The 26970-nt window shown below is 41.3% G+C and overlaps 1 protein-coding gene, 1 long non-coding RNA gene and 1 pseudogene across 5 annotated transcripts in view, besides 1 other annotated feature; 1 reads left to right on the top strand and 2 right to left on the bottom strand.

Annotated features, from left to right (window-relative positions):
• LOC101929727 (uncharacterized) overlaps positions 1–26970 on the top strand; it is a 248010-nt gene that overhangs the window by 109399 nt on the left and 111641 nt on the right. The window lies entirely within an intron of this gene.
• The window catches only part of RNLS (renalase, FAD dependent amine oxidase), a 411796-nt gene that overhangs the window by 69988 nt on the left and 314838 nt on the right, over positions 1–26970 (bottom strand). The window contains exon 8 of one of the 4 annotated variants that reach the window (XM_017016380.3): positions 875–24496. The exons of the other annotated variants lie outside the window; for them this stretch is intronic. The gene's annotated coding sequence lies outside the window, so the exon portion shown is untranslated. Of the gene's footprint in view, positions 1–874; positions 24497–26970 lie in introns of those variants that run through there. 4 annotated transcript variants of the gene reach the window in all.
• Positions 17047–17793, bottom strand: VN1R55P (vomeronasal 1 receptor 55 pseudogene; annotated as a pseudogene).
• Positions 21317–21376: an enhancer, noted in NCBI's record as "active region_3721". NCBI's record gives its function as "activates an Ori minimal core promoter by ATAC-STARR-seq in GM12878 lymphoblastoid cells {active_cell/tissue: GM12878}" and the evidence as "EXISTENCE:reporter gene assay evidence [ECO:0000049][PMID:35858748]".

Here is a 26970-nt window from a genome sequence, read left to right on the forward strand (position 1 = left end):
TACTGTTTATTTCTGCCTCTTAAAAAAATCAGTCATGCCAGGAGTTCATCTACTTACTTTTTTTGAAACAACCAGCTTTTCATTTTGTTGATCAGATGATCAGCCATTCATTCTTGACACCACCACAAGAGTAATTTTTTGGAAACTCAAATCCAGTTTTAAAAACCTATCAGTGGCTCTCCACACCATATTCAAGCTCCCACCTCCTAACAGATTCACTAGTTCATTTCTCCACACTTAGTCCTTCCTGTTCTCCCCTCCGGCAATATCAGATTCCTTCTAGGCCCCAAAATGTCAGCCCATTTCATGCTCTGTGCATTTATACAGACTTTTTTGTTGTTCTGTTTTCTATTTGGTCAAAATCTTTAAATTCCACCTCAAGTTTTCCTCTTTTCTCTCTCTGTCTCTCTGTCTCTGTAATTACTTCCTTCTCTGCTTTGTTTTTGTGCCTTACCCATATTCCTATGTTTTCCTCTATCATCATGTTTTATGTGTCTGCCTGCCTCCTGGACCAGGAGACCCTTGATGGAAGGTGCAATCTATTTTTCATCTCTGTATTCCTAGAACTTTTAACTTATTTCTCTTATCCCCATATCTTTCCTTTTTTAAACTGGAAAGGCAAAAAATAGAGAAGAGATTACCCAATGTCCCTTTCCTCTATTTTAAGAAAGGTTGGCATCCAACCCCTCCAACTAAGATGCTGACTAAACTTACTTTCCTCTTCCTCCCTTGTCAATATGCACTTAGCATTGAATCACCTATTTGCTAACATCTTCAATCTTTCAATTTTAGGCCAATATTTTCTTCTTATAGGGTCCAAAGTAGTTTATGTTCAGACATTTCAATGCATTAAAAATACCACAGTAGAATTTAATCAGGTTGCATAATGTTTTCCTCATAGCATTTATTTATAAACTTATGCACTATTTAAGTAGAAGGGAAGATAAAATTTTATGACCAATTCAACTACATTTTAAAACCTTCATATTTGGGCAAAATATTCTAAGTAGGTAATTCAAAAAAAAATCTCTGTTTTTTTTCTCATAGTTTGTCTCATCTAGGAACTTAAACTTTACAACAACCAACCTCGATATGAATTACACAGGACAAGATGCTGTTTAAAAGAAGCAGCTAAAGGGCTGTAAAAACCATAAGGGAGGCTGGGCACGGTGGCTTATGCCTGTAATCTCAGCACTTTGGGAGGCTGAGGCAGGCGGATGACCTGAGGTCAGGAGTTTGAGACCAGCCTCAACATGGAGAAACCCTGTCTCTACTAAAAATACAAAATTAGCCAGGCGTGGTGGTGCATGCCTGTAATCCCAGCTACTTGGGAGGCTGAGGCAGGAGAATTGCTTGAACCTGGGAGGTGGAGGTTGCGGTGAGCCAAGATCATGCCATTGCACTCCAGCCTGGGCAACAAGAGCGAAACTCTGTCAAAACAAACAAACAAACAAACAAACAAACAAACCCATAAGGGAGTGAGGAAACCTGGGTTTGGATACCAGCTCCACAGTTAGACTTCAAGCGGAACATTGATCAGTTTAAGTCTCATCAGTAAAACAGTGATAATAATATCTGACTCTCTAGATCCTTGTGAGGATTAAATCATATAATGTGTGGGAAAATGCCTCGCACAGTGCCAGGAACATAAGGGATACTCACTAAATTTTAAGTTAACTTGCATGCTAGGAAATCACAAATATGCCTACTTTGCAGATGATAAATTCAAATTTACAAGATTATTACTGAGGCATTCAATGTCAGCTTAATTAAAGAAAATCCCATTTTCCCTGAAGCTCTGCTGGCTTTCTGAACTTTTTGTCCTGGAACAATACTCTGTGCTAACCCATTTTATTTTCATTGGTTTAGTCAAAGGACAATGAGTCAGACACTGCAGTTTGGGAGTCTTGAGTTCCATTTTGAGCATGCATAGTCCAGTGACCTTGGACAATCAATGGGACATTTTTTTGTGAACCCTTTTTGCATTTCCCCAAAGGCAAAGCCTTAGTCCTATTCCTCCTTTCTGTCTGCTCAGCACAAACTTGGCAACATTCGTTACCAAAAATCAGGGCATCGATATTTTAATTCACAAGAAAAATCCAATTCATGTAATATCTTTATCCCTCTATGAACTGCGGGGAAAAACGGAAGTAAGCAAGCCCAAATGTTCAGCCTAAAGCATTTGCCGATATTCCTTTAAAGTAATAATCTCCCTGCAAGGCCAGCAGCTCTTTAACGGACACTTCACTTTGCTGTTGGAAAGAAAACCTTTTCTGTGTTCTCTGCCTCCACCTGAACTACTCAGTAACTGAAAGTCATTTTGTTTCTCCTATCACCCTTGGCAGCTATGTACACATTACCCATCCATTTCACTATCTAAATCAGGAGTTGAGGAAAAGTCCCTGTGGGAAGCCTGAATAGCCAGCAGCTGCGTTTGGCCTGGCCAGCTGAACTTCAGCCTGCATCTTGGCCCAACCCCAGGACTGATAACGCCTTTGCTAAGCTTTAGATTTCCCCAGCATTTGCGTGCAAAATGGAAAGGCTGGTTTCCTCTGTCCTGATGGCTTCTCTCAATGCTCTTCGGGCTTGTTAACTTGTTTTAGGCAAGAAGAGAGTGGGGGTGGGGGTTCCTGGGCCCAATCCGGGGTCTGCATGCTTCCAGCCTGCCCCAAGTTGTACAGCAAATGCTGACCTATATTCCAGTGACACACACCAGATATGAGTAGGACATAACTGCCCAGGGCGCTGCCCACTCCCTCCTCCTCCTTGTTCCTCAGCCAGGAGGGCAGCCAGATCCGTACACCATGTTCTGTCTTGTCAGCCGATGGTGTGACAGGCACCGGGGGGCTTATTAGGAGGCAACGCCCCCCCATAATATGAACCTCTGGGCCACACCACACTGTATTCTCTCCAGGAAGAGTAGCAGTAACCGAAAGGGTGCAGACAAGTTGATCTCTTGAGTTAGATCACAATGATTTCCTTCCAGCCATTGTTTTTGGACTGCTTTGCTGTGTTTCTTTAGAGTGGGCAGATGGCAGGATCCTGGAGGTGTAAAACAGCTACAAAAAACAAGATGATTCAAACAGAAGGAATATGTATAAACCCTGCTGTATCATCTCGATATTAATCAAGAGACTTGGCTTTTCCTTCCCCCTTTGCAGGATGTTTAAGGTTTTCATGCTTTTTTTTTTTTCTTTCTTTCTTTTTAAAAGAAGGACACACTGTGTAAATGGGCCACTTTTGGGGTTTTGGCTGAAAAGTTGGTGTCATTTTTGCATTCAGTTTATTTTGAGGACAAGCCCAACTGAGAGACTTTACAGCAAGACCACTTACTTTGAGTAAATGGAAGAAAGTAAAAATGGAACCTCCATAGAAAAAAAGCTAATGCTGGGTAGCAAGGATGGTGCCATCCAAAGTACAGGAACCGAGCCTAAAAGAGACAATTTCAAGTTGAGTTGTGGTTTGCCACAGTGTCCTCGTGATCAGTTGAGTGGTCAGATGTCAGGGGTGACTGAAAATAAGTTCATTTTCCCACAGGGTAAAGGGAGAGAAGAAAAAAAGGGGAAAAAAAGGAAAAGCTTTGCCCATATGAAACAAATACTTTAAAATTTCAGAGTTTATCTGGCATCAGCTCGAAGATTTACCATCATCCATGTGACTTTTGTGAAGAGCACTGAAGAAGAAATAACAGTTGTTGCTTTTGATTAGCATAACATTTTACCCCCCTCCCTTTTCTCCCTAATGATCACAAATAGTCCTTTATGGTGTGATTGCCCAGCACCATTGTTCGTTCAAAAGATCTGAGAGCAAGGGTCTTGGGCTTACGTTATTAAGGCGCTGGCAGGGAGAGGAGAGCTAGGCAGAATGATCTCAGGCAAAGAGCTGCAGTCTCAGAATCAGAACACTAACAGAACCCCGGACCTTCCTAATTCAACCTGAGGTACAGCTTGGCTTTATGATGGCAGCCGCAGAAACGTCTTTTCATGCTGCATGTGTGCAGGAGGACTCTGAGATTCAAAGAGTTAAAGTATCATCTGCAATGGGAAAAAAATGGCTTAACCACAAATTCACCCTGTGCTGGGCTAGTTGTGTGTTATTGCATATATGTGATTTTCTTTTCTTTTTCTTTTCATTTTTTTTTCTTTTCAAATACTATTCTATTTCATGATCTCATATCCTAAAATGTCTCCTTTCTAATTTAGTGAGAGGGACTTCTGGTTCACCACCTGGAACAGGGTGCTTTCTTCTATCATATATGCCAGAAAAGCATTAAAATCTCAAAGGTGAAAACCCAGAGCATCAAATCACCCATTGCAAAACCGAAGGCTTGATTCCTGATTTGGAAATCACGTAACAGGCAACCTCGAATCCCACCATCCTGATGCTTTTTCTTTCTGTTTATCTTTTTGTTCATGCATCCCAACCTAATTTCCTGATTTCACTGAGCCTGTAGCACCTTGAGCAATTCAGTGGCTATAAAATCTCCTGCCGACTTTGTTTTGGCTAGAATTGCAACCCACATGTGGGAGAATTAAGCTAAAACATCACAGAGCTAATAGCGTGCCTCTGTGCAGTGGCAGGCAGATCAGTAGAAAAAGGTGACATCATGGATATTCCGGGACTTCAGGTCTGCAGTGCAAAGCGGCTTCCTCACTACACATCAGAGTCAGAACCTGGATTTGAGACAAAAACAACTCTCCCTTCTCATAAATATCTGCTCTGGGGCTCAAAAATATTCTAAGTGCAACAGCTCAGAACTAGTCCCTTTCCCTTGGAGACTCATCTGACTTTCCAAATCCAATCACAAACTTTTTAATGGCATGTCATGAACCTCTCAGCTCATTATTTCTCTTCAAAGCCCTCCAGTTTGCCAGCTTAGAGCCTGTGAAGTGTTGTTTGATGATGTGCTGCACCATAAATAAGCACATAGGACATGCTAAAATCCATCCTTCACTACTTCTGGCTTTCCCACCAGGAATACTGCCATATAATCAGGGATGTGTGATTTGCAGCAGTTGTTCTGAACTGAGAGTTTTGTTGTTTTTTTTTTAATGCGTCCAGTGTGTAATGTAGGTAATATAACAGATTTATCATGTTTATATAAATCCCGCTTTTTTTTCCTTCCCGTTCCTTTCCCTTTCCTCCCACTCTCTCTCACGGCTAGAATTTTGGAAGCAAAGAAAGTAGGTGTAGAGACAGACCTTCTAAAATAGCCATCACAGCTTTAACCATTCCTTACTGCAAGAAATCAACGCATTGGATAATTTCCCAAGTCTCTTAACACCCAGCGTTCCCTCTGATGTCTAAGTTGTGAGCAGACAACCATTTTACATGTGTAACCAGCCATGAAGGTTAGCATACAGAATGGAGGTTACTGTTGTAATCAAATAAAGCTCACACAGGCTAATCTGACATGTGTTTTGACTATTTTTTCTAGCCGTATGGTAATTAGGCCAAAATGGAAAGCAGTTGACCCAAATAGCTGTCACTTGTATTGTTTTGTTATGAATCACGGTGAGATTAAGGAAGGATGTGTGCAAAGATCCTGAGGTGGGAAAAAATCTTGGTGACTTCAACAAGCTGAAAGAAGGTGAGAATGGCCAGAGTCGGGGAGAAAGTGGAGGAGAGATGAAGCTGGAGGAGGGCAGAGCCTGGCTTGGAGGGCCCTGATAAAGACAGGGCATTTTATTCTGAGAAAGGGCAGAAATGCACACAAATGATCAAACAAAATCACAATACATGCAACAGAGGGGGCTGGCCTCATTTGTAGAATCAGAGAGGACCCCAAGGAAGTGACATATACTTAGGAGTTTGCCAGATAAGAAGAAGGCAGTCAGATGAAGAAGGGGGAAGTGAGGGTTGAGCAGAGGGAACAACATATATAAAGGCCTTAAGGTCAGAAAAAATAGAATGAGTTCGGAGAATTGACTAGCAGAGCTGGACAGGCCTGGCATTGAGTGCCCAGTCTGCCATTTACTGTGTGACCTTGGGCCAGCTATTCTCTCTGAGTCTCAGTCGCCTCGTCTGTAAAACAGGAACAATAACAATGCCTACCTCAAGGGGTTGTGGTAAGGATTAAGTGAAGTACATTAAAAAGTGGCAAATAATAAGTGCTTGTGGTAGATAGACTAATAGCCTCCCAAAGATTCCTATATCCTAATCCCTGGAACCTGAGAGCCTGTTATGCTACCTGGCAAGCAGGTTGCATGTGGAATTAAGTTTGCAGATCTGCTGACTTTAAGATTAACCTGATCACCTGGGTAGGCCCAATATAATCACAAGGATCCTTTAAATGTTGAAGAGAGAGGCAGAAGAGTCAGTTTCAGAGTGATGAGATATGAGAAAGACTTAACCTGCCATTGCTAGCTTTGGACATGAAAAGGGGGCACTAGGCAAAGAATGCAGGCAGCCTCTAGTTGCTGGAAAAGGCAAGACAATGGATTCTCACCTAGAGCCTCCAGAAAGAAACACAGCCCTACTGACACCTTGATGTGAGCTCAGAGATGTTGTGGATTTCTGACCTCTGCAACTGTAAGATGATACGTACATGTTGACTTAAGCCACCAAGTTTTTAATAATTTTTTACAGCAGCTGTAGGAAACTATTACAGTACTTAATAAAATGTTAGCTGGTAATTTAAATTTTTCCCTTATTAAGTGATGTCCCTTTTGTGATGAGCAAGTTCAGAAAGATCTATATCACACTTACGTATCTAGAGTCTTCGTCTGGATTCATTTTCACTTTACCATCTACCTACTGTTCTCAAAATAAATGTTATACATAGTGGCAAAGAGCACAAATTCTTACTTATTGTAGTACTGACTGACTGCAAACAACAGAAATGGACTCTAACTTAATCAGGAAAGGCATTTGTTGTCAAAGTATTAGATAGTTCACAGAATTAACTGGAAGCCTGGAGGATCAGATTCAGAAAATTAGCAAGAGTCCAGAAAGATCACACAGCAGGTAAGAGGGCCAAGATCAAGACAAGGAGGGTTCAGAGGCTGCCCCTGGACACTCATTTCCAGTGGTGCTGGACTCCCAATGCCATCACTGATGCTATGGATAATTTTTCAACGCTCAATCTTTGTATTATTCAATATTCCAAGTTCTGGGCAAAAATGTCCAATTGGGATCATTTAGCTCTGACAGAGGTGGGGTCAGCCCCTTTGGTTTCCATATTGATTGATAGTACCCTCCCTCCCACCAAGATGTTTACAGCAGATGATTTCCCCAAGCATGAAGCTATTGTGGCCCAGGTAACTCCCAACATGACAAATGACCACCACAATTAACCTCTTGCAACTGCAGTTTTCTTGTCCGTACAGTGGGGATAAGAATCTCTACTACATTCCAATTGTGGAGAGTTAATTGAAGTTTCCTGAACATGCTGTCCATGTGCCTTCTGCTGTTCCTTCTGTCTGGAATGATATCTCTCCTTATCTGTCTAGTGACCCTCTACTCATTCTTCAAGACTAGTGTGCCAATCCTGGGCCTGGTCCCCTCTGATCCATTTCCTGCCTTCCCTTCGTCTGCTCTGTATTGCAAGCAAATGACCCTTGGAGGCTGTGTTTTGTAGGCTTCTGGATGGGTTATGCCAATGGAAGGCAATAGCAGAAGATATTAGGGCTGAAAGAGAAAGAAACAATTATTTCTCTTTTCCTTGGATGGTATCTTAAGCCCCAGCTGTTTCTCCCATTTTTAACTCTTTTGGAAAAGCCATGTTCTAACTTCTGCCAGGTAACCCTAAACCCTGAGCCTCATCAATACCAAATCCTCTGTTTCTCTGGCCTAGGGGTGGTAGAACTGCATTACCTGCCGTTGCTAATCTATGGGATGCCTAATCTATGGAATGTCTTGTTTGGTTTCTTAGCAATTCCATAACCTGTAATTCTGATTACTATTGCTGTGTAACAAATTACCCCAAAACTCAGTGGCTTAAAACAACCACTCCATGGGTCATGAATCTAGACAGGGTATAGCCAAGATGGTTTATCTCTTGGCCTCAATATCTGGGACCTCAGGTGTGAAGACTCAAAGACTCAGATGACTCCACACCTGGGGGCTGGAATCATCTGAATTTTATTTGCTCACATGTCTGGTGCCTGGGCTGGGATGACTCAAAGACTAAGACTGCTGGCTAGAGCATCCACACACAGCTTGACACGTGGCTTGATTCCTTACAGTGTGACAGCCTCAGAGTGGTCAGTCTGCTTTCATGGTGGTTCAGGGCCCCAAATGTGTGTGTGCCATTCAGCAAACAAGCTGAAGCTCTCTTTTATGTACTAGCTTCTGAAGTCATTCAGCATCACTTCCCACTATTCTGTAAGTTGCGATAGTCCCAAGTCCACTCAGATTCAAATGGGTGGTGGAAACACAAATCATGCCTGTGAATGGAAGGAGTGTCAAAATTTCTGGGGTCATGTTTTAAAACCATCATCCCTGGGTTACCAATCCATGGCATGAAACTGCCCATTTTACTAACTTGGAGTGTTTTCTGTTTTTCCAGTTGAACCCTAAACATTCAGTTCAGCTGTTGTTTGCGCTATTAAAGTTCCTTAAATTCCCCAATTAGAGCTGGTCTTTGTTGTCCCCACCTTTGTGCTACCGTGACTCATCATAGCATTTGGATAAACTGTGTTCTAATCACTTTGTTTCTCTCCCTCAATAGACTATAGGCTTCTGTAGGGACTGAGCCTTATTTATCTCAGTTTCCTCCATTATTAGCACATGTCTAGAACACAGCAGACAATAATATACATTGAGCAAATGAATGCATATTTCACTCTAATCCTATTGATCATCAAGAATCATTTTGCACTTAACACCCTGAGAAAATTCTTTGGAAGTCTCCATGTGGCTTTATAAAGATTTTGACCCCTGATATGAAGCAAAGGCTATGAACTCAAATGCCAACAGGGCCTGGCAGGTAAATGAATGAAATGAATGAAGCAGACAGGTATAGAGAAGAGGGTGTGAGGTGGACTGTGGGGAGCATTTACCATGTCTACCAAGGCCACCCTGTGCACAGCCCTCAACAATTCAGACCATCAGTGAGTGAGAATGTGGCTCAGTATTCCAAGAACTTCTGATATTTTTTAGAAGTCAGAGTCTCTATTTTTATTTCCTGATTTTTAAGTGTTGCAAATTAACTAAAAAATTTTAAAAACTTTGTGTGGACCAACACTCTGCAAGCCAAACCAAATATAACCAAAGGCCGGATTCCGCCCTCATTCATGTCCTCTGATTTAGAATTGCCTGGCAAGGATCCACAGATAACTTCATTAACTCAAACTTCAATAGCTTGAGATGTCATCCTAGAAATATAATTCGTGAAAGAGGCATGTAAATTTGTTAACTGGCTAGACTCTTTAACATTGTGTATTTAACATAACAAAATACACAATAATCGAATGAAATAATATGGCAAACTGCACTTGAAACTGTTAAATGTGTTTCATGCTACCCACCTTGATTGTTTTAAAAGCTACAAACCTAAAATTCATAATAATTTTATCTTTTGGGATCAAAATATTTTCTCCACATTTTGCCACTGAATAAAATGCTTGCATATTCAGAGGGAATACAGAGATAATGATGAAGAAATGAGATCACTCCTCCATGACTGCTCAGCCCCTAATAAAGATGACGGGCAGAATGATGCCTCTAACTTAAAAAATCTTAAATGTAAATTCCAGCATATAAAAGAAGAGCACTGCACTAGAAGTCCAGATAACTGCCTTCTAGTACTTGGGTTTGCCAGCATCCTGCACACAATGCCTGGCACCAGGAAGGTGCTCAGTAAGATGTGCATGAATGTGTACATAAAATTTATATGTGAGAGAATGAGCAGCATGTGACTTTGAACAATTTACCTAAATGACTTATTTCTTTATCTGTAAAATGAGGAATTTGAAAGAGCTCTTTTATCATTGATTAATGCACCCAGCACATGCTAAGCATACTAATAAACAGGTTCTCATTTAATCTCTATGGCCCCACAGCTCTAAATTTCTATAAAAACGGGCTTCCAAAGAGCATGGAATGGATTGGGTAGCTGTTATAAGGAGTTTGTTGGCATCTCTTCTCTTTAGTTTTGCACCAGGTAAAAATGGACAAAAGTCTGCAATTCACCAAAAGTCACACATGGCCAACACTACCACGTGCATACACACACGTATCTGTGGAAACACACAAAGCTGGAATGACACATTTTAGTATTTAATACCTTCTTGTGACTTAACTATGTGCATTAGAGAAGATGTTCATGGAACTGAAACCTCTGAGACCCCTTTGAAGATTCCTTTGCCCCACATTTCACCTATGCTTTGTTGAATCTGAGGCCCAGGTCCAGGAGACATCTAAATGGGTCAGCTAAGCTTTTCCCTGGCCTACAAAGCCTCTTCCAATGGTGCACCACACCACAGTGTATTTATCCCACATTTGGAGCATGTCAGAGACAACAGACCAGAAAGCCTTATGATGCTCTGCTGATATTTCTTCTCGTTCCAAGTAGCCATTCCTACTTGGTCTGGGAAGAGATAAAGTTGCTGGTCCACAGATAAAAATCAGCAGGTACACTAGCAAACTGCTGGTGGGTCACCTAACCTGCTCTGGACCTTTTTCCTTCCTTCTTTACTCCACCCCAGGACGCTTTTCCATCTCTCTTGTCTCTTCTCCCTCTATCTCGTCATATCCAATTTATGTGCCATCCCCCACAACCCGGTGCACAGTAGGTACTGTATGCATTTGATAAACTATTTAGATTGACCTCACTTGTTCTGACAAAAAACGCTGGTGGTTCTCTAAGCCGTCAATCAGAAAGTCAGATTTTATAACAAGTTGTGGAAGAGGGAAAGCCTTTATTTTCATTTTTAGGTGTCCAATCCCTTACCCCCATACAACTCCCACACAGACAAGTACACTGTGCAGTTTTCATGAACTCAGATCATGGCCAGACCTCACGAGGTGGGTGGGCAGAGGCTGTGGCCAGAGGGGCTAGGGGCTTCGATTTTCTTCCTCATCTTTACCTGCCCAAGTCTATAACTTTCTTTAGGACTCTGCAGTACTATCCTCTGCTGCAGAAAACATTCTCTGTGTGACTCCTGGAGATCCGGTTAAGTTTCTCTCATGGGTGCTAATCACCCTGTCCTTGGTCCTGTGAACATCAATCAGCCAGCACTGTCATTTCCCTTACTGGACTGGAGGTACCTTGAGCAGGGCTGAAGCTTATTCACATTCTATACACAGCTCCTATCACACTACCGGGCACATAGTAGGTGCCCAATTAATTGACTACCTTAGTGAATGTATGGCTATTTAATACATGTATTGTAGAGATAACTTTCTAAGTCTGTACTCTATAGGACATAGAGGCCTGGGCTCTGGATAAACACTGCTGAGTTGCACAAGTTGGTGATATTAAGGTTTTCAATTAAGGCAATAGTCATGGGAGCAGAAGGGAATGGGCTCTGACACCAGAACTCAGGCTTTTGGGCCTTGAACACTCACTCAAAGCCCTTAGGCTGAAGTGAATTTTTCTGGAGCTTGCTAAGATAAAAGCAGTGTTTAAGGGAACATTTGGGCATGTCTCAGGGCAGTGAACTTGAGCAATTTCAAAAACACTGGGTCTACTTTGTAGAGCGGGTTGTGGATGTGATTTACCCACTGTATTTCAGAGCCTCGGTCACTGTCCAGGCAAGAGTCTCAGGGGTCTGTCTCTGGGGTAGGAGTTAAGCTCTCACAATGCTCACAAAGTTGCTTCATAAGTCTTTGGTTTTAACATGACAGTGACCACCTGTCCTACCCAATCCCTGAGGGAAACATTAGAAGCAGCAGCACATTGACATTCAGGCTGGAAGATGCAGTGTGCCAAAGATTAAATGGAAAGACTTTTCCTGGGTTATTCTTATTGCATCCAGGGGTGGCAACTGGGGACAGGGGTGCCAGATGGACACAGAGGCTGCTGGGGTGGGTGTGGGATTATTTGTTTCTATAGAAACATTTCTATAGGACGTCTGTAGGGCCTTTGGAAGGTGGCACTGGTCTTGCCCTGAGAACCATGTGGTGCCCTTTCACAATGTTCCCAATGCCTTTTTATTACCAAAGGAGTTTTCTAGTAGCTGCCCTGTCTCTGGCCTGGAATTTACTGAGATTCTGTGAAAATGGAGTCTTCTGAATTCCAAGCCAGGTTTCTGCCTTTCCAGGAAGACAGGGTCTTAGTATCCACACACTGTGAAGAACGAGAAGCTTGGCCCCAGAGCCCTTGGCATTTTCCTGCCCCCCTCCCTCCCCTCCTCCTGGCCTGGGTTTGTCCCCCTGGGGCGTGGACCTCAGCCAGTTGTCAACTAATCCTTGCTAAGGTGTTAGGTGGCAAAGGCTCAAGGGTTATTAATCTTTGTAGGAGCTTTCCACATTAAACAAAGTTTTGTTATTAAATCAAAGGGCATTAAAAATTCACCACCATAGCATAAAAACAATTTCTTTGTGTCCTCTATAAATCCTTACCTTTAAAAGTGAGTTTAGTTATGATCATAATATATATGCAATATGTGGGACTTTTTCATAAAGAAGAACATTTTGCACATCTTCACATTTTTTAATGTCCCATTCTCACTCTCATAGTAGTTTGAAGGCAGCTTTTGCAGCATCTGTCCATTTCTTGATTTCTCCCCAGCATATCCAGCTGCCCTCCCTCTCTTCCTGCCTCCTGGCAATGAAGCGAGCCCCCAGGGCCATGGTGTAACTGTGACCCTGCCTCTACCTATGACTAACTCCTGCCACACTGAATAAACAGGAGTAGCACTAGATGCAAGATGAGTCAGAGTCTTTCTCCCCAAACTATGAAATTAAGGCCAGGAAAAGGACTTGTGTTGGTTTCTTTTTGGGTAGCTGAACCTGCAACATGTCAGCTTAGGAGTGGAGAAGTGGGTTTTCTCCAACAATGCTGTGGACCTAACAAGAGAAGAAGCTGAGAGAGGAGAATGAAGCAGATGTGCAGAGAAGGGCAGAGGTGACAGAACTTCCCTGAGGCCCAGGTATATTCCTGCTCTTGATTTCTGTGAGACACACCTGTATTTTTTGCTTAAGCCAGCTTTGTTTCATTTTTGTCACTTGCAAGCAAGAGTCCAAACTAATTATAAGAATAATAATATTAATGACATGGAACATTTGTGATGTATCAGATATTTACACACCGGGTATTTAATACCTTCAATCACCTAACGAGCTAACATAGAGATCCAGTAACCTTCTCAAGATAGTACCTCTTAATGAATTGTGGACTGGGATTTGAACCCTGATCTTGTCTGATTTTACAGTCTATGGTCTTAACTATTCCCTATGTGGACTCTCAAGGTAAGTGTGTCATCACAGAAGTGGGATGAATAGAGGGAAGAAACATCATGCCTTCCGAGAATAAATATAAAACACTCTCATTTCAGATGCCAGAAATAAGACATTTTGAGGCACAAGCCTCTTCCTGCTTAACCCCCGTCAAGTGACCCCATATAGACAGTACTGTTTTCCTTGTGTCTTGGCTTATGGATGTCCTTGCCTGGTGTTTGGTACCTCGGATGGGCCTACCCTTTCTCCAACAGCAAGGAAGACCTGTGTTGAGTCAGTTCTCTGCATACAAACATGTCTGCATGATCCAGCCGTGGTTTATTCATGATACATTTGTAAGAATTCTCCTCTTGCCATCAACTGTGCTCCTGGAACCACCTTTCATTGCTTCTAGTTGGTATATTCTTAAACATTTCAAACTAGTGGCAGTCACTCATGCATTTATTCACTATCTTTAACATGTTAGTTGACCACAGTCTATGGGCCTGTCTTAATCCCGGGAATACAGGACAAATCAAACAGCATGTCTGCCTCCTTAGAGATCACAGAGGCATTTGAAGACATTCCCTAATAACACCACACATTAACATCAGAGTAGAGGCACACACAGGCTGCCTTGGGAGCAAGGGAGGAGGAGTAGGGGTAGAGGGGTGATATGGGGTGTGTAAACTAACTCTATCTGTGGAAAAGGCTTAATGAACAACTAGACGTTGGAGGCTGTGAGCATTTGTACTAACCCAATCAACCTAAGTAAAGCAAATGCACAAGTTTTCGTCTGCTGTGATATTACGATAAATCATTTATCAGGAACAAAGGCTGAATTGCAGGGCTATGTCTCTCCATGTCTGTCTTCAAGGGCACCATGATTTTGGGAATTGATAGAATTGGTTACAAACCTTCATGTGTACTAAGAATTCCTAGCCAATCATCCAGGGATTTGCTTCAGCAGAGAGTTTTTGCGTGGAAGGACTGGTCTCACAGTTTCCCCCTAGGGCAGCACATCTCTTCAGAAATGCCAACCCAGTGGAGGGAAAGCAGCCCTGTGAGGATTCTCACATGCCCCTGGACATCTTCAAAGGTGGCAAACAGGAATCAAGAATTACGCAGAACTCATCTTCCTCTAGGATGGGTACACTGGAGCACAGTTGTAGCTGGAGTAGAAAGGCAGCTCAGGGAGGAGAATAAGTTTCAGGGAATTCAGACAAAACCAGCCCGTGGGGAATATTTTTAAATTCCAGGCAAATGATTGGATAGGAATACAATAAGCGTTCCTAGTGTAAAGGCTTTCCCTTCTCGATATTGATCTTGTGGCAACTCAGAAAGCTATTTGCAAGGAAATGGTCACTCTTTCCCTTTACATAACATTCATAAATGTGCAGCCAAATTCAATGTGTCATAGATGAAATTACCAACCCGCGTACCACCCGCCTGTCTCATGTGAGCTCGGTTTACGGTTCCAGTGTTCTCCAGCGAGCATCACAAATCCACATAATGTTCCGAGTGCTAAATTTGGAGCTCTGATGTAGCTGACAGATGTTTAAAATCACATTTAGTCGGACAACTCCCTGAGGAGGACACAGCTGCAGATGTGAAAGAGAGCAAGTTATTCCAGTTAAGGTCGGCGGGAACTCGGCCTGAAAACCTTCCGTCTCCATCCGCCTTCTTCAGACAGGAGGATATGGGCGAAGGAACTTTTTCATGCGGGGTCCGCCCACCTTCGGCCAAACCCTCCCTCACAAACCTCCATTTGAATTGTTGCCAAGATAAACATGGAGGCTGTATCTTGGGCAGAGTGTAGGGTGCTACACTTAGCCTTAATTGAGTACGAAAGAGGCTGCTTGCTTTTTAAAAACAGGCACAAAGCCACATTTTGGAGCCTGCTTTGCCCCTCTGGTGGCATCTTAGTCCCGAAAATGAATATGATTCTGGAATTTTGCTCTTCATGATCAGTTATTCAAACGTCAACCATTCTGGATGGGTTGAAGGGCCATTCACCCTCCCTCACTCCTCTGACATCTCGAATAGTTCCTCCTTCGTTTTTTAAAAACAACAAAATTAAAATTATCCTAAAATCTTTGCAAGATCACATATTTTAGGCTTGTTTCAAGACTCAGACTAAAATGGATTTGTTTAAAAAAATGGTCTGTGTATTTGATGTGGGAGACTAGTGACCTTTGGTGTGTTGTGCCAAAAAAAAAAAAATGTTTGATGTCTAAAATTTCCCTACTGAGCTTGTATTGTTTCTGGTCTCTTTCTGTGATTTTTCCATCCTCCATCATTCCCCACGTTCAAAATCAGTTCTTTATTTACTCAACGGAGGTTTTGACATAGTTATGAGCTCATCCTGATGGCAGCCTCAAATCAATGCAAATCACATTACGATGTCAAAATTGATGTGATGTGAGTGTAAGTTAAATGATTGTAAAACAATTTTAGGACAGAGACCAAGAGAGACTCTTACCATGTCAGGAGAATGGTAGGAAGGGATTAATGGGAGAACTCTGCCAGATTCATATCAGGACAATATAGCGTGCACACTATATTGGCTTTACTCCCAATTTAAAGTTCTTATAAAGGCATCCTTAGAGACCACAAAATACCCTCAGAGGAGGTTGATGGGCAGCTGGCTAGGGTGATAGAGTGGGTTTGGCTCACAATGTTTTAGGCACTGAGATGAGCAGATAGTATGTTAAGTGAATGACAACTGGGAACAAACCAAACTCAGTCAGTGCCGATGAATCCCTAGAGCCTAGTTTCTAAATGGTCAGGCTGGGAGACCTATAGCTAGGAAAGGAGATTCAGTAATGGGGTAAACAGGGGAAGAGAAATAGACTCTAGGGCCAGTGAGAAAATCTCAGGTGGATTCCTGTGCTAAAAGTAAAAAATCACACTTCCTAACTCCTTGGACTTCAGGACTCAGTCTACGATATTATCTTCAATTCATGGACTTTCACAGTCTGGAGTGGAACATTATACACCAATCCATGACTATAAATGACTTTGGGAGGGTGGAATTGGAAGAAGAAAGGGGAAGCGCATTAACATTAGAAGCAAATCTGTACTGTGTGGTTTGTTGTAATGCTTTTTCCTTTACTTAAAAAAAAATCCATTGAAATTAATTGAATGACATGTGCATAAACACACACCCTTTCCCCCACAAGAAATTTTACTGGATAAAGTTCAGGAAACTCTATAATTGACTAGCAAGTCCTTTGACCTCTGTGGGTGCCAGTTTCCTCGTCTCTGAGAAATCACAGTATTTCTGGGAGAATAAAATGCAATAGATAAGGATAGAGTTTTGAGAAGCTGAAAGGGGGGTTAGAGGGCAAAATGTTACTGCAATTATACAGGGCATAAAGGGTACTTTATAAATATTGTGACTGACGGTGACATTGGTGCAAATTCCTGTAAGAGATTCTTTTAGTCATATATTTCTCAAGGACTTTGGGCACTAAAGATAAATGTTCAGAATTATGTATTCTGGATCCTATTAAATAAAATCTAATTTGACTTGTGGACAGAGAAGTCTTTGGAGTCCGTTTTGAACCCTAACTCCACAACTCACTTGCTCTGATACATGTGGGCAGATTAGTTAATTTCTCTTAGCTTTAGTTTTCCAAGACTATAAAAAGAGGATTAATATTACCTTCCCCCTAGGACTGTTGTGGGAAATATGTGAGACAATGCATATAAACTGTCTAATCATGGCTGCTCCCATCACTGGGAGATCTCCATGCAAAGTGCAATCATTATTTGATGGTAACAAACATTCCTTCTTCTCTTTTACCAACAGAGAAACTGAAATAATGAGAAAAGTAATAAGTTGCAGCCACAGGATGAGATAAGGCAGTAGTTGGGAATAAACCCCAGGCCTAAAAGCTGCCATCAGGTCATAGTAGGAACTGTTTGATTATTTTCTGCAGAGGAACTCTTACCTTAGGAGTTTTAGGAACTACATCCACTCTTCTGATGTCTGGGTATTGGAAAAGACAGGGTCATTCCTTCACCAGAGACCTAGGGTGCTCTGCTGCTGTGATTGTGAAAATGTGGGGCAACAAAGTGCAGTCTTTAATGCTCTGTTACTGGCGAGCTCAAATCCCTGAAGCTAAAGAGCATTCCGGATGCCCTGGATTTCCCTCACATTCACTTTGTGTGGAGACTTAAATCATTCTGTAATTCTAAATACTGTGGGAACAGTAGCAAATGCTATCACACACTGGTTACTTTCTACTTATCATTATTTAAATGATCACCAACAAAGACACTGGTTTAGAAAAGCACACAGGAGTTGGCTAAGACCAGTTGGTTGGGAATCATGTCTGCCGGTCTCAACTTATGTCCATTTAGCAAAGTGAAGTCTTAAAGACAAAAGAGGGAGGAGTTTCCAAAGATTCTCACTCCTATCTGAGTGAGGAATGCAATCCCAATCTCCAACTTGGCAGAAACTATCACATCAATCTCTACAGGGCATTGATTTTAATTGGAGCCAGAGACATGGGTACTTCAAACAAAAAGAAATGGGTTATCATCACCATGCCAGGTAACTTTCAGTGCTAACACACATTTTCTCAATTTAAGTGGACATTATGTGTGCTTATGGGCGCAAAGGCTATGCATGAAAGTTCTACTTGGAAACGGTTTAAATGTCTATCTCTGGGAATCAGGTGAATGAATTTTGGCCAATCTGCACACATTTTCCACACTTGTAAATTGAGTGAGGCGGATCACTGCACTCTCACGCATAGTTACCAACTGGCTGCGTTCTAAAGTGAAAAGCCAGGTACTGAGTTGTGTGTAGAACATGCAAATTTTTTCCAAGTATATGGGAGGATTCAAAATATGGGCATAAAACTTAAATAGGATTCAACAGAAATTAAAGATAGACTTTTTTTGTTGTTGTTGTTCTTTGAGACCAAGTCTCGCTCTGTCACCAGGCTGGAGTGCAGTGGCGTGATCGTGGCTCACTGCAACCTTTACCTCCCGGGTTCAAGCAACTCTCCTGCCTCAGCCTCCCAACTCTAGGACTACAGGTAAGCGCCACCACGCCCAGCTAATTTTTGCAGTTTTAGTAGAGACGGGGTTTCACCATGTTGGCCAGGATGGTCTCGATTTCTTGACCTCGTGATCCGCCCGCCTCGGCCTCCCAAAGTGCTGGGATTACAAGCATGAGCCACAGCACCCGGCCAAAGATGGACTTTTAAGGAAAAAAAGAATTTGGTTTGGGCCTAGAGAATGTGTATGAAATTCTAACAGTACCCTACTCCTGGGCTCCCAAGAGAACACAATCTCTGCCTGTGACCAATCCCCCTCATAATTTCCTGACCAAGAAATTGCCTCAAAGAACAGGAAACATGAAGATAAGCAAACTTGAGCTGGTTTCTCTGAGTCCTGCAGCCACTTCCCTGTGGCAGTATTCTGATTTTCTTTTAACCTAAGCTATGCAGATGGACAGGTGTTATTTATGGCAAACTTAATACTATTCTTCATCAAATGTTTATCAGATAGTAGACAATAGTGTCAAGGGCTTTATCTATTTGAATTAATGCAAGTATGGAATCCTTATAGCAATTGTACAAAGGTAGCTGTAATTTACCCATCTTGCAGATGATAAAACTAAGGTTCTGAGTGGCTAGCTAAATTGACCACATCAAAGAACAAATAAAGGGCAGAATTTGAATGTGAACTCATTTGACTTTGAAACCCTGCTCTTAAACACTACCTAGTACTAGTCTGACTTCACGAACAGCATCTGTATTAAGCCTTCATGGTTGGAAGGGTTCTTGGGCTGAATTAGCCAAACAATAATATTTTCTTTAGCCTTGAATTTGTATTCTCCTCATCCTCCCTAATTTCAGTGCTTTACCAACTCATTGATACCACTGGCAAAGAGAGTTGACTTTTTTTAAAATAATAATTTCTTTAAGGAAAGCAAACCACACAAACATTTGTGTTTGCTATTTAATGGAAGGTTATGTTTGCTTAGCAGAAACTAAAAAGGAACTCTTGAAATGACTTTTAAAAATCTAACTAGAAAATGAACATGTGCTGACATGTTCTTTATTGCTTTCAGCAAAAGACAAATACTATATGTGCCCAAACCTTCCAGAGTTGCTGTGAGCAAAACCCAACACACCCAAAGTAGAATTAGGGGATGGAGATATTAACAGACTTGAGAAGAAGGATGGAATTTGCTTAGATATTCTCTGAAGGAATAGCTGCTCTACCAATTTCTGATAATGGCTGGAAACAGGAAAGGAAGTAATAATTAAAATGGTCAGTATGGAAGAAGATTGGTTTCATTCCTCTTTCTGTATTCCATAGAGATCTGGAAGATAAGCTTTAATATCAAACTTTAACATCAAGCTTTAACATCTGCTGAGTTTGAATCCTCCCTCTTCCACCTACCACCTGGGTGACCTCAATTCATTTATAAAAAGAGGATAATATTAGACACCCTCTGCCCCCCACCACACTAGTCAGGAGAGGCTTAGTTATGCTGCAGTAACAAACACCAGTTATCAGTGATTTCAAACAACAAATATTTATTTTTCATCCATGCTGTGTCCAACATGGGTCAGCAGGGGGTCACTGAGCCTTCACTACCTTATAATGATGCCTGCCCAATACAAGGCTTTAGGATCCACCATTGCAAGGGGAAAGAGTACCTCTTATTAGATGATTATACATGGAAGTGACACATGTCACTTCTGCTTAAATTTCATCCATCAAAGCAAGTCATGTGGCCACCCCTAGCTTCAAGAAGAGAACCAGAAATCTTGGTAAGCACTGGTCATGTCCACTTCTACCACACCCTCCCTTTAGGATTATTGTAGAGATTAAATGTTAATTATTATTGTTATGATTTACTTCAATACCCCTAGTGCCCACATATTAGATAATTAAAAAGAATGAACAACACAGTGACCATGACTTTCAGCAGCTCAGAATTTAATGTAGGGAACAAAATCAAACCAAAAACCAAACTACAATGTGATAAGTGCCAAAAGCCCAAAGAACTGTGTGTTGAGAGAGCAGAAGAGAATCAATGTAATCTTTTAGATGGAGGAGTGGGAAATGAGGTCTTCACATGGGAAGCTTCACTGGGAAGGTGACACTTCTGAGTTTTGACAAATGAGTAGGAGTTCATAGGGTGAAGAATAAGGAGAAAGGCAAACCGGCTGGAGAAAACCTACACAGAGGCGGAGGCAGGAGAGGGTATAGTGAGTACCTTCTGGGCAGGATTCATGCTGGGGAATTGTGGGAAGTGATGGTGGCTAGGTAGGCAGAGTCTAGACTAGCAAACGCCTTGTATATCTATCTATGCCATAGACAGGAATTTTTTTTTAATGTAGGTTTACCAGTGTCGCACCTAACAGTGTGTCTTTAACAATGAGAGCAGAATGTGCAGTGGGAAGTCCTCTAAACTCACCTCATAATCTGTTCATTAATTCTGCTGAAGGAACAATGTTCATTAGCTCTGTGAACTTTGGCATCTCAAGGTCTCATGGCCTTTATTTATAAATAAAAAGGTTTAAATAAGTGAAATTTGAGGTTCTTTCACACATTCAAGTTCAAGGAACAGGACTCAGATCGGCACCCTCTGTGGTGCTTCAGCCCCAGGAAGATGGCCATGCCAGTGTGACTCATAATTTTACCCCTCACCTAGGTTCCTGAGACACTATTTCTGATTGGCTACTAGTTTTCAGGGGTAGTATATCTTTCTGGCACAGATAATTCATGATAATGACTAAAGAAGTATAATACCTATGATAAGTGTGTAAATTTAGGCACTACCAAGCTTACTCTTTGGATTTCAAAATTTGTAACCCAGAGAAAAATATACTGTACTTTACATCACAGAATCACACATTTTCAAGGTCTCCCGTGTCTCAGAATTGCTGATTTGACTGAAAACACATTTCTGTTCTTGCACTATTCAGAGGTGCCAGAAGGGGATTCTGGTCAAAGTATGTGACTCGCGGGACATCTAGCCTTGTATTTGGTACTTGATCAAGACATTATGATTGTTATACTTCATTCTCGCCTCTATGGAGTCTGCTTGTGTTAATGTCTGATTTACCCAGGCTATTTGAGGCACTATGTTGAAGTGGTTAAGAGTGTAAATTTCAGAGACAAACTATTTCCTCTCTTAGGGCCTCAGTTTTCTCATCTGAAAAATGGAAATGATACTAGGTTTCTTCATAGGTGAGAAAACAGCTTAGGGCAATATGTGGTCTAGCACACATTGTGAGTAGTAAGTGTAATAATAATAGTAATAATAATGATAATAATAAAGATGTTGAAAGAGAGGTAAACCCAATAGATATTCAAGGAAAACTGAAGAGAATTTGAGGCAAGGGGAAGTGAAATTCATGACGAGAATTTGAGCAGGTAGGATGTGATTCTGACTCAGAGAAATTATATGGTGTCTGGAAAGGGGGCATGTGGGATCTCTGAGTGTCTAGAACAATTTTGTTACCTAAAAAATATCTTAAAGTCCTAAGCCAATGAAATTTCATATATTTGGATTTGAAGAATAATTTTTATTCTTCATATTAACATTGTTGTCAATAACAGCACCATCACAATCAAAAGTAGATTTACTGTGAAGATAATGAGGCTGTAGCTTCAGCCCCTCTCATTTGCAGGGACCCCTTCTAAAACTCTGTGTTTGCTTTGTTTTCATTTTTTTTTCTTTTTCTTGAAGAGGGTTGCCACTGCTCCCAAGCCCAACCCAAAATTGTTTTACTTCAGGGTCCTCAAAATCTGAACCTGCCTTAATTGCACTGATTGGGAAATAGGGGGGTATTGTTAAGGCCACACATTCTGGAGTCAGAATGACCTGAGTTCAAGTCTCAGCTCAGCTATTTGCTAACTAGGTTACTTTAGGCAGATGATTTAAACTTTCTGAGCCTAGGCATTCTCATCTGTCCAAGGAGAATAATGGCAATGTCTTCTTCTTCTTCTTCTTCTTTTAATTTAAATAGGTTTTTGGGAAACAGGTGGTGTTTTATTATATGAATAAGCTCTATAGTGGTGATTTCTGAGATTTTGGTGCACTCATACCCAAGCAGTATACACTGTACCCAATGTGTAGCCTTTTATCCCTCACCCACCTCCCACCCTTTCTCCCAAGTCCCCAAAGTCCATTGTATCATTCTTATGACTTTGCATCCTCATAGCTTAGTTCCCACTTATGAGTGAGAACATATGACGTTTGGTTTTCCATTCCCTTAGTTACTTCACTTAGAATAATGGTCTCCAATTCCATCCAGGTTGCAGTGAATATCATTATTTCATTCCTTTTTATGGCTGAGTAGTATTCCACAGTATATATATACCACAATGTATTTTATCCACTTGTTGATTGATGGACATTTGGGCTGGTTCCATATGTTTGCAATTGTGAATTGTGCTGCTATAAACATGCATGTGGAAGTATCTTTTTCATATAATGACTTATTTTCCTCTGGGTAGATACCAGTAGTGGTATTGCTAGATCAAATGGTAGTTCTATTTTTAGTTCTTTATGGAATCTCTATACTGTTTTCATAGCGGTTGTACTAGTTTACATTTCTACCAGAGGTGTAAAAGTGTTCTCTTTTCACCACATCCCCACCAACATCTATTATTTTTTGATTTTTTGATTATGGCCATTCTTGTAGGAGTAAGGTGGTATCACATTGTGGTTTTGATGTGCATTTCCCTGATCATTAGTGATGTTGTGCATTTTTCAGTTGTGCATTTCTTCATATGTTGGTTGCCCATTTGTATATCTTCTTTCAAGAATTGTCTATTCATGTCCTTAGCCCACTTTTTGATGGGATTGTTTGTTTTATTCTTGCTAATTTGTTTGAATTCCTTGTAGATTCTGGATATTAGGCCTTGGTTGGATGTACAGATTGTGAAAATTTTCTCCCATTCTGTGGTTGTTTGTTTACTCTGCTGATTGTTTCTTTTGCTGTGCACAAACTTACCAGTTTAATTGAGTTCCATCTATTTATCTTTGTTTTTGTTGCGATTGCTTTTGCATTCTTGGTCATGAAGTCTTTGCCTAAGCCTATGTCTAGAAGGGTTTTTCCAATGTTATCTTCTAGAATTTTTATGGCTTCAGGTCTTCTGTTTAAGTCTTTGATCCTTCTTGAGTAGATTTTTGTACAAGGTGAGAGATGAGGATCCAGTTTTATTCTTCTACATGTGGCTTGCCAATTAGCCCAGCACCATTTGTTGAATAGGGTGTCCTTTCCCTACTTTGTTTTTGTTTGCTTTGTCGAAGATCAGTTGGCTGTGAGTATTTAGGTTTATTTCTGGGTTCGCTTTTCTGTTCCATTGGTCTATGTGCCAATTTTTATACCAGTATCATGATGTTTTGGTGACTATGGCCTTATAGTATAGTTTGAAGTCAGGCAATGTGATGCCTCCAGATTTGTTCTTTTGCTTAGTCTTGCTTTGGCTATGCAGGGTTTTTCTTTTTTTTTTTTTTTTTTTTTTTTGGTTCCATATGAATTTTAGGATTTTTTTCTAGTTCTGTGAAGAATGATGGTATTTTAAAGGGAATTGCATTGAAATTGTAGATTGCTTTTGGCAGTATGGTCATTTTCACAATATTAATTTTATCCATCCATGAGCATGGGATGTGTTTCCATTTGTTTGTGTTGTCTATGACTTCTTTCAGCAGTGTTTTGTAGTTTTCTTTGTAGAGGTCTTTCATGTCCTTGGTTAGGTATATTCCTAGGTATTTTATTTTATTTTGCAGCTATCGTGAAAGGGGTTGAGTGTTTTATTTGATTCGTAGCTTGGTCGCTGTTGGTGTATAGCAGAACTACTGATTTGTGTACATTAATTTTGTATCCTCTAACTTTGCTGAATGTATTTATCAGTTGTAGGAGCTTTTTGGAGAAGTCTTCTTTAGAGTGTTGTTCTAAATATAAAATGAGATCATTCAGAAGTGCACAATTAATATTGCTTGTTATAACTGATTTGTCTTTCCCTTTTGAGTAATAGGAGGGTCTGAGTTTACTCATGGGTGTCCCAAATGGCGAATTAGTCATTCATCCCTTTAGGAATAGTTCCATGCTTTACTTTTCTCCGAATTCCTTTCCTTCATCTCCCCAGCAGCCAGCATGAGGCAGCTCACATTAGAGAAATTCACCTAGAAAATGTCATAAGGATTGTAGAAGTGACTGTAATTTCCTGGGCTTTTTTATCTAGGGCACTTTATTGGCAGAAGATGGGCTGGTAAAATTTGATGCATATGGGTAAATTCTGAGTGCTTTTTTACCAGGCTGGCTAGTCACGTGATGCTAAGCCAGGAGGTCCTTAGGATGGGCAGGCCAGTCACTTCTAGGCAGGCTCACCCACTCTAATAACAATGATTCACTTCTCCACAGGCTCCCCTGAGAAGATGAATGCTGGATTTACAGCAGATTTGTGCAAAAAGCCCTATGGAGAAAGAAACATAGGGCAGTGGAAAAATGCTCTCAAGGCTTACGTTCTTTAGAGCTTTGGAAATCAAATGGTAATGTCTGGGTCACTGGGGAGGCTGCTCCTAAAATAACTCCCCTGATTCCTGGCCAAAACAGAGGGCTTTTCCCCCTTTACAACTAACACAGGATGTTGGATGCCCAGCAGTCTCAGTATACTTTGCCTTGGCTGATTTTCATTTCTAATCCCATTGCTTTGTAAAGTGTAGAATTATTCTCTTTTGACCAAGCCAACAGTCTAGAAGTTGTGGGTGGGACTTGGTCTTGCAAACAGAAATATTCTATTGTGGTTTGCATTGTTTTTATCATGTCACAGTTCAGACTCCTACTTCCAAGGCAATCTCTTTTCTTTTAAATACACACACACACACACACACACACACACACACACACACACACCCCACACACACCACAAATGCCAAACAACTTCTACTTAAAAAAAAAAGTCATCATGCATGGCTGCCAGCATGTACATCACTCAGATTCTCCCTTTAAGAGAACCTGCTGTGAGAAAGGTAGCTGGCTGCTGGTGTCAGCTGCTATCAGAGCACAAAAGCTGGGCCATTTTCTTCCTCTAACAGTCAATCTTTGCTCTGGGGATCTGCAGTGGCCAGGCTGAGGTCATCTCAAATTTGAATCGTTGTCTTTGGTCTTCATAGCCAGTCCTCCTTCCCTCCTTCTTTGTCTCCCAGTGCAGGTGTCAGACCTGTGTCACTGTCTGAAAGCTGTCCCTGCCTACTCCTGTTCCCTGTACCCTTTATCTTTCATAGGCATTTTCCTTCTAATTTGGTCTTTGTGTCTGTTTTGCAGAGGACCCAAATTAATACACCATAAATTCTAGTTTTAGTGAATTACAAATCTCCCAGGGTGAAGACTCTAGCATCTTGTCAGATGTTTGAGCTCACATTGCTGCAAACCCAGGAAGCAATATATAAGAGATGCTATAAAGCAAAAGGAGGCTGGGCACAGTGGCTCACATCTGCAATCACAGCACTTTGGGAGGCTCAGTCAGGAGGATTGCTTGATCCCAGAGTTTGAGACCAGCCTGGGCAACATAGCGAGACCCCCTCTTCACCAAAGGGGAAAAAATTAGCTGAGTATGGTGGCGCAAATCTATAGTCCTTGCTACCCAGGAGGCTGAGGCAAGAGGATTGCTTGAGTCCAGGATTTCAAGGCGCAGTGAGCTACAATCACACCACTGTGCTCCAGCTTGGGCAACAGAGTGAGACCCTGTCTCTAGAAACAGAACAAAACAAACAACTACCCCCTGTCAAGGAGTGGTTGGACTCCTGGATGAAAATACCACCAATACATACTTTAAGTCTAACCAGGAGAACACAAAACCTACAAATTGAGCACATCTGAACAATAAAGTCAGACCTTCCCATTTTGAGTTAGGGTGCATTTTTAAAAAGATGGCCAATGGCAGAAAGGCTCAGAAAGGAGGAAGAAGTGAGGAATAGAGAATTTGGATGTGGAAGTTGAGAAGTCATGTGATTCAGTGTCTTCTTAAAGGTCTCAGAGGCCACAGAAGGGAAGAGAGCCTGCCATGGCTGTGCTGTTCCCAGAGAAATTTTGATTTTAAATATCTTGGTAAGAAAATTAAATTCTACAGCCTTATAGGGGAGAAACGTTGGTGTAAGATTTTTTCATAAACAGAAAGGTTCTGTGAATTTTGGCAGTGCTCAAAGAAGGTATTCGAGACAACACTTGGTTTTATTTTACGCTTTTCAAAGATTTTGAACTGCATATGGATTCTTCTATTAAATAATCACTAATTGGATCTCTTTTCAGACCTACCATAGTTCAGGGTTGCGTTATTTCAATATGCAAGCTCACCCTCTGAAGGCTTCTCAATGGTGGCGCTATTGGCATTTTGGGTGGACTATCTTGTGTTAGGCAGGATAGTCCCATACCTCTCAAGACCATTTAGCATCCCTGGCCTGTGTCCATTAAATGTCACTTGTGTTCCCCACTTCCCAGTCATTGAAAAAACTTGAAAGCTCTCCATATATTTCCCGATGCCCTCCTCACCTTCAAAGATGTGCTACCATGCCAGATTGGTGAAAAACAAATGAACAGACAATTCCCAATGATTAGACATGGCCAAACCATGCAATAGGACCATGTGGGAGGTGGCTGT

The sequence above is a fragment of the Homo sapiens genome, chromosome 10 (assembly GCF_000001405.40).
Source record: "Homo sapiens chromosome 10, GRCh38.p14 Primary Assembly".
Lineage (NCBI taxonomy): Eukaryota > Metazoa > Chordata > Mammalia > Primates > Hominidae > Homo > Homo sapiens.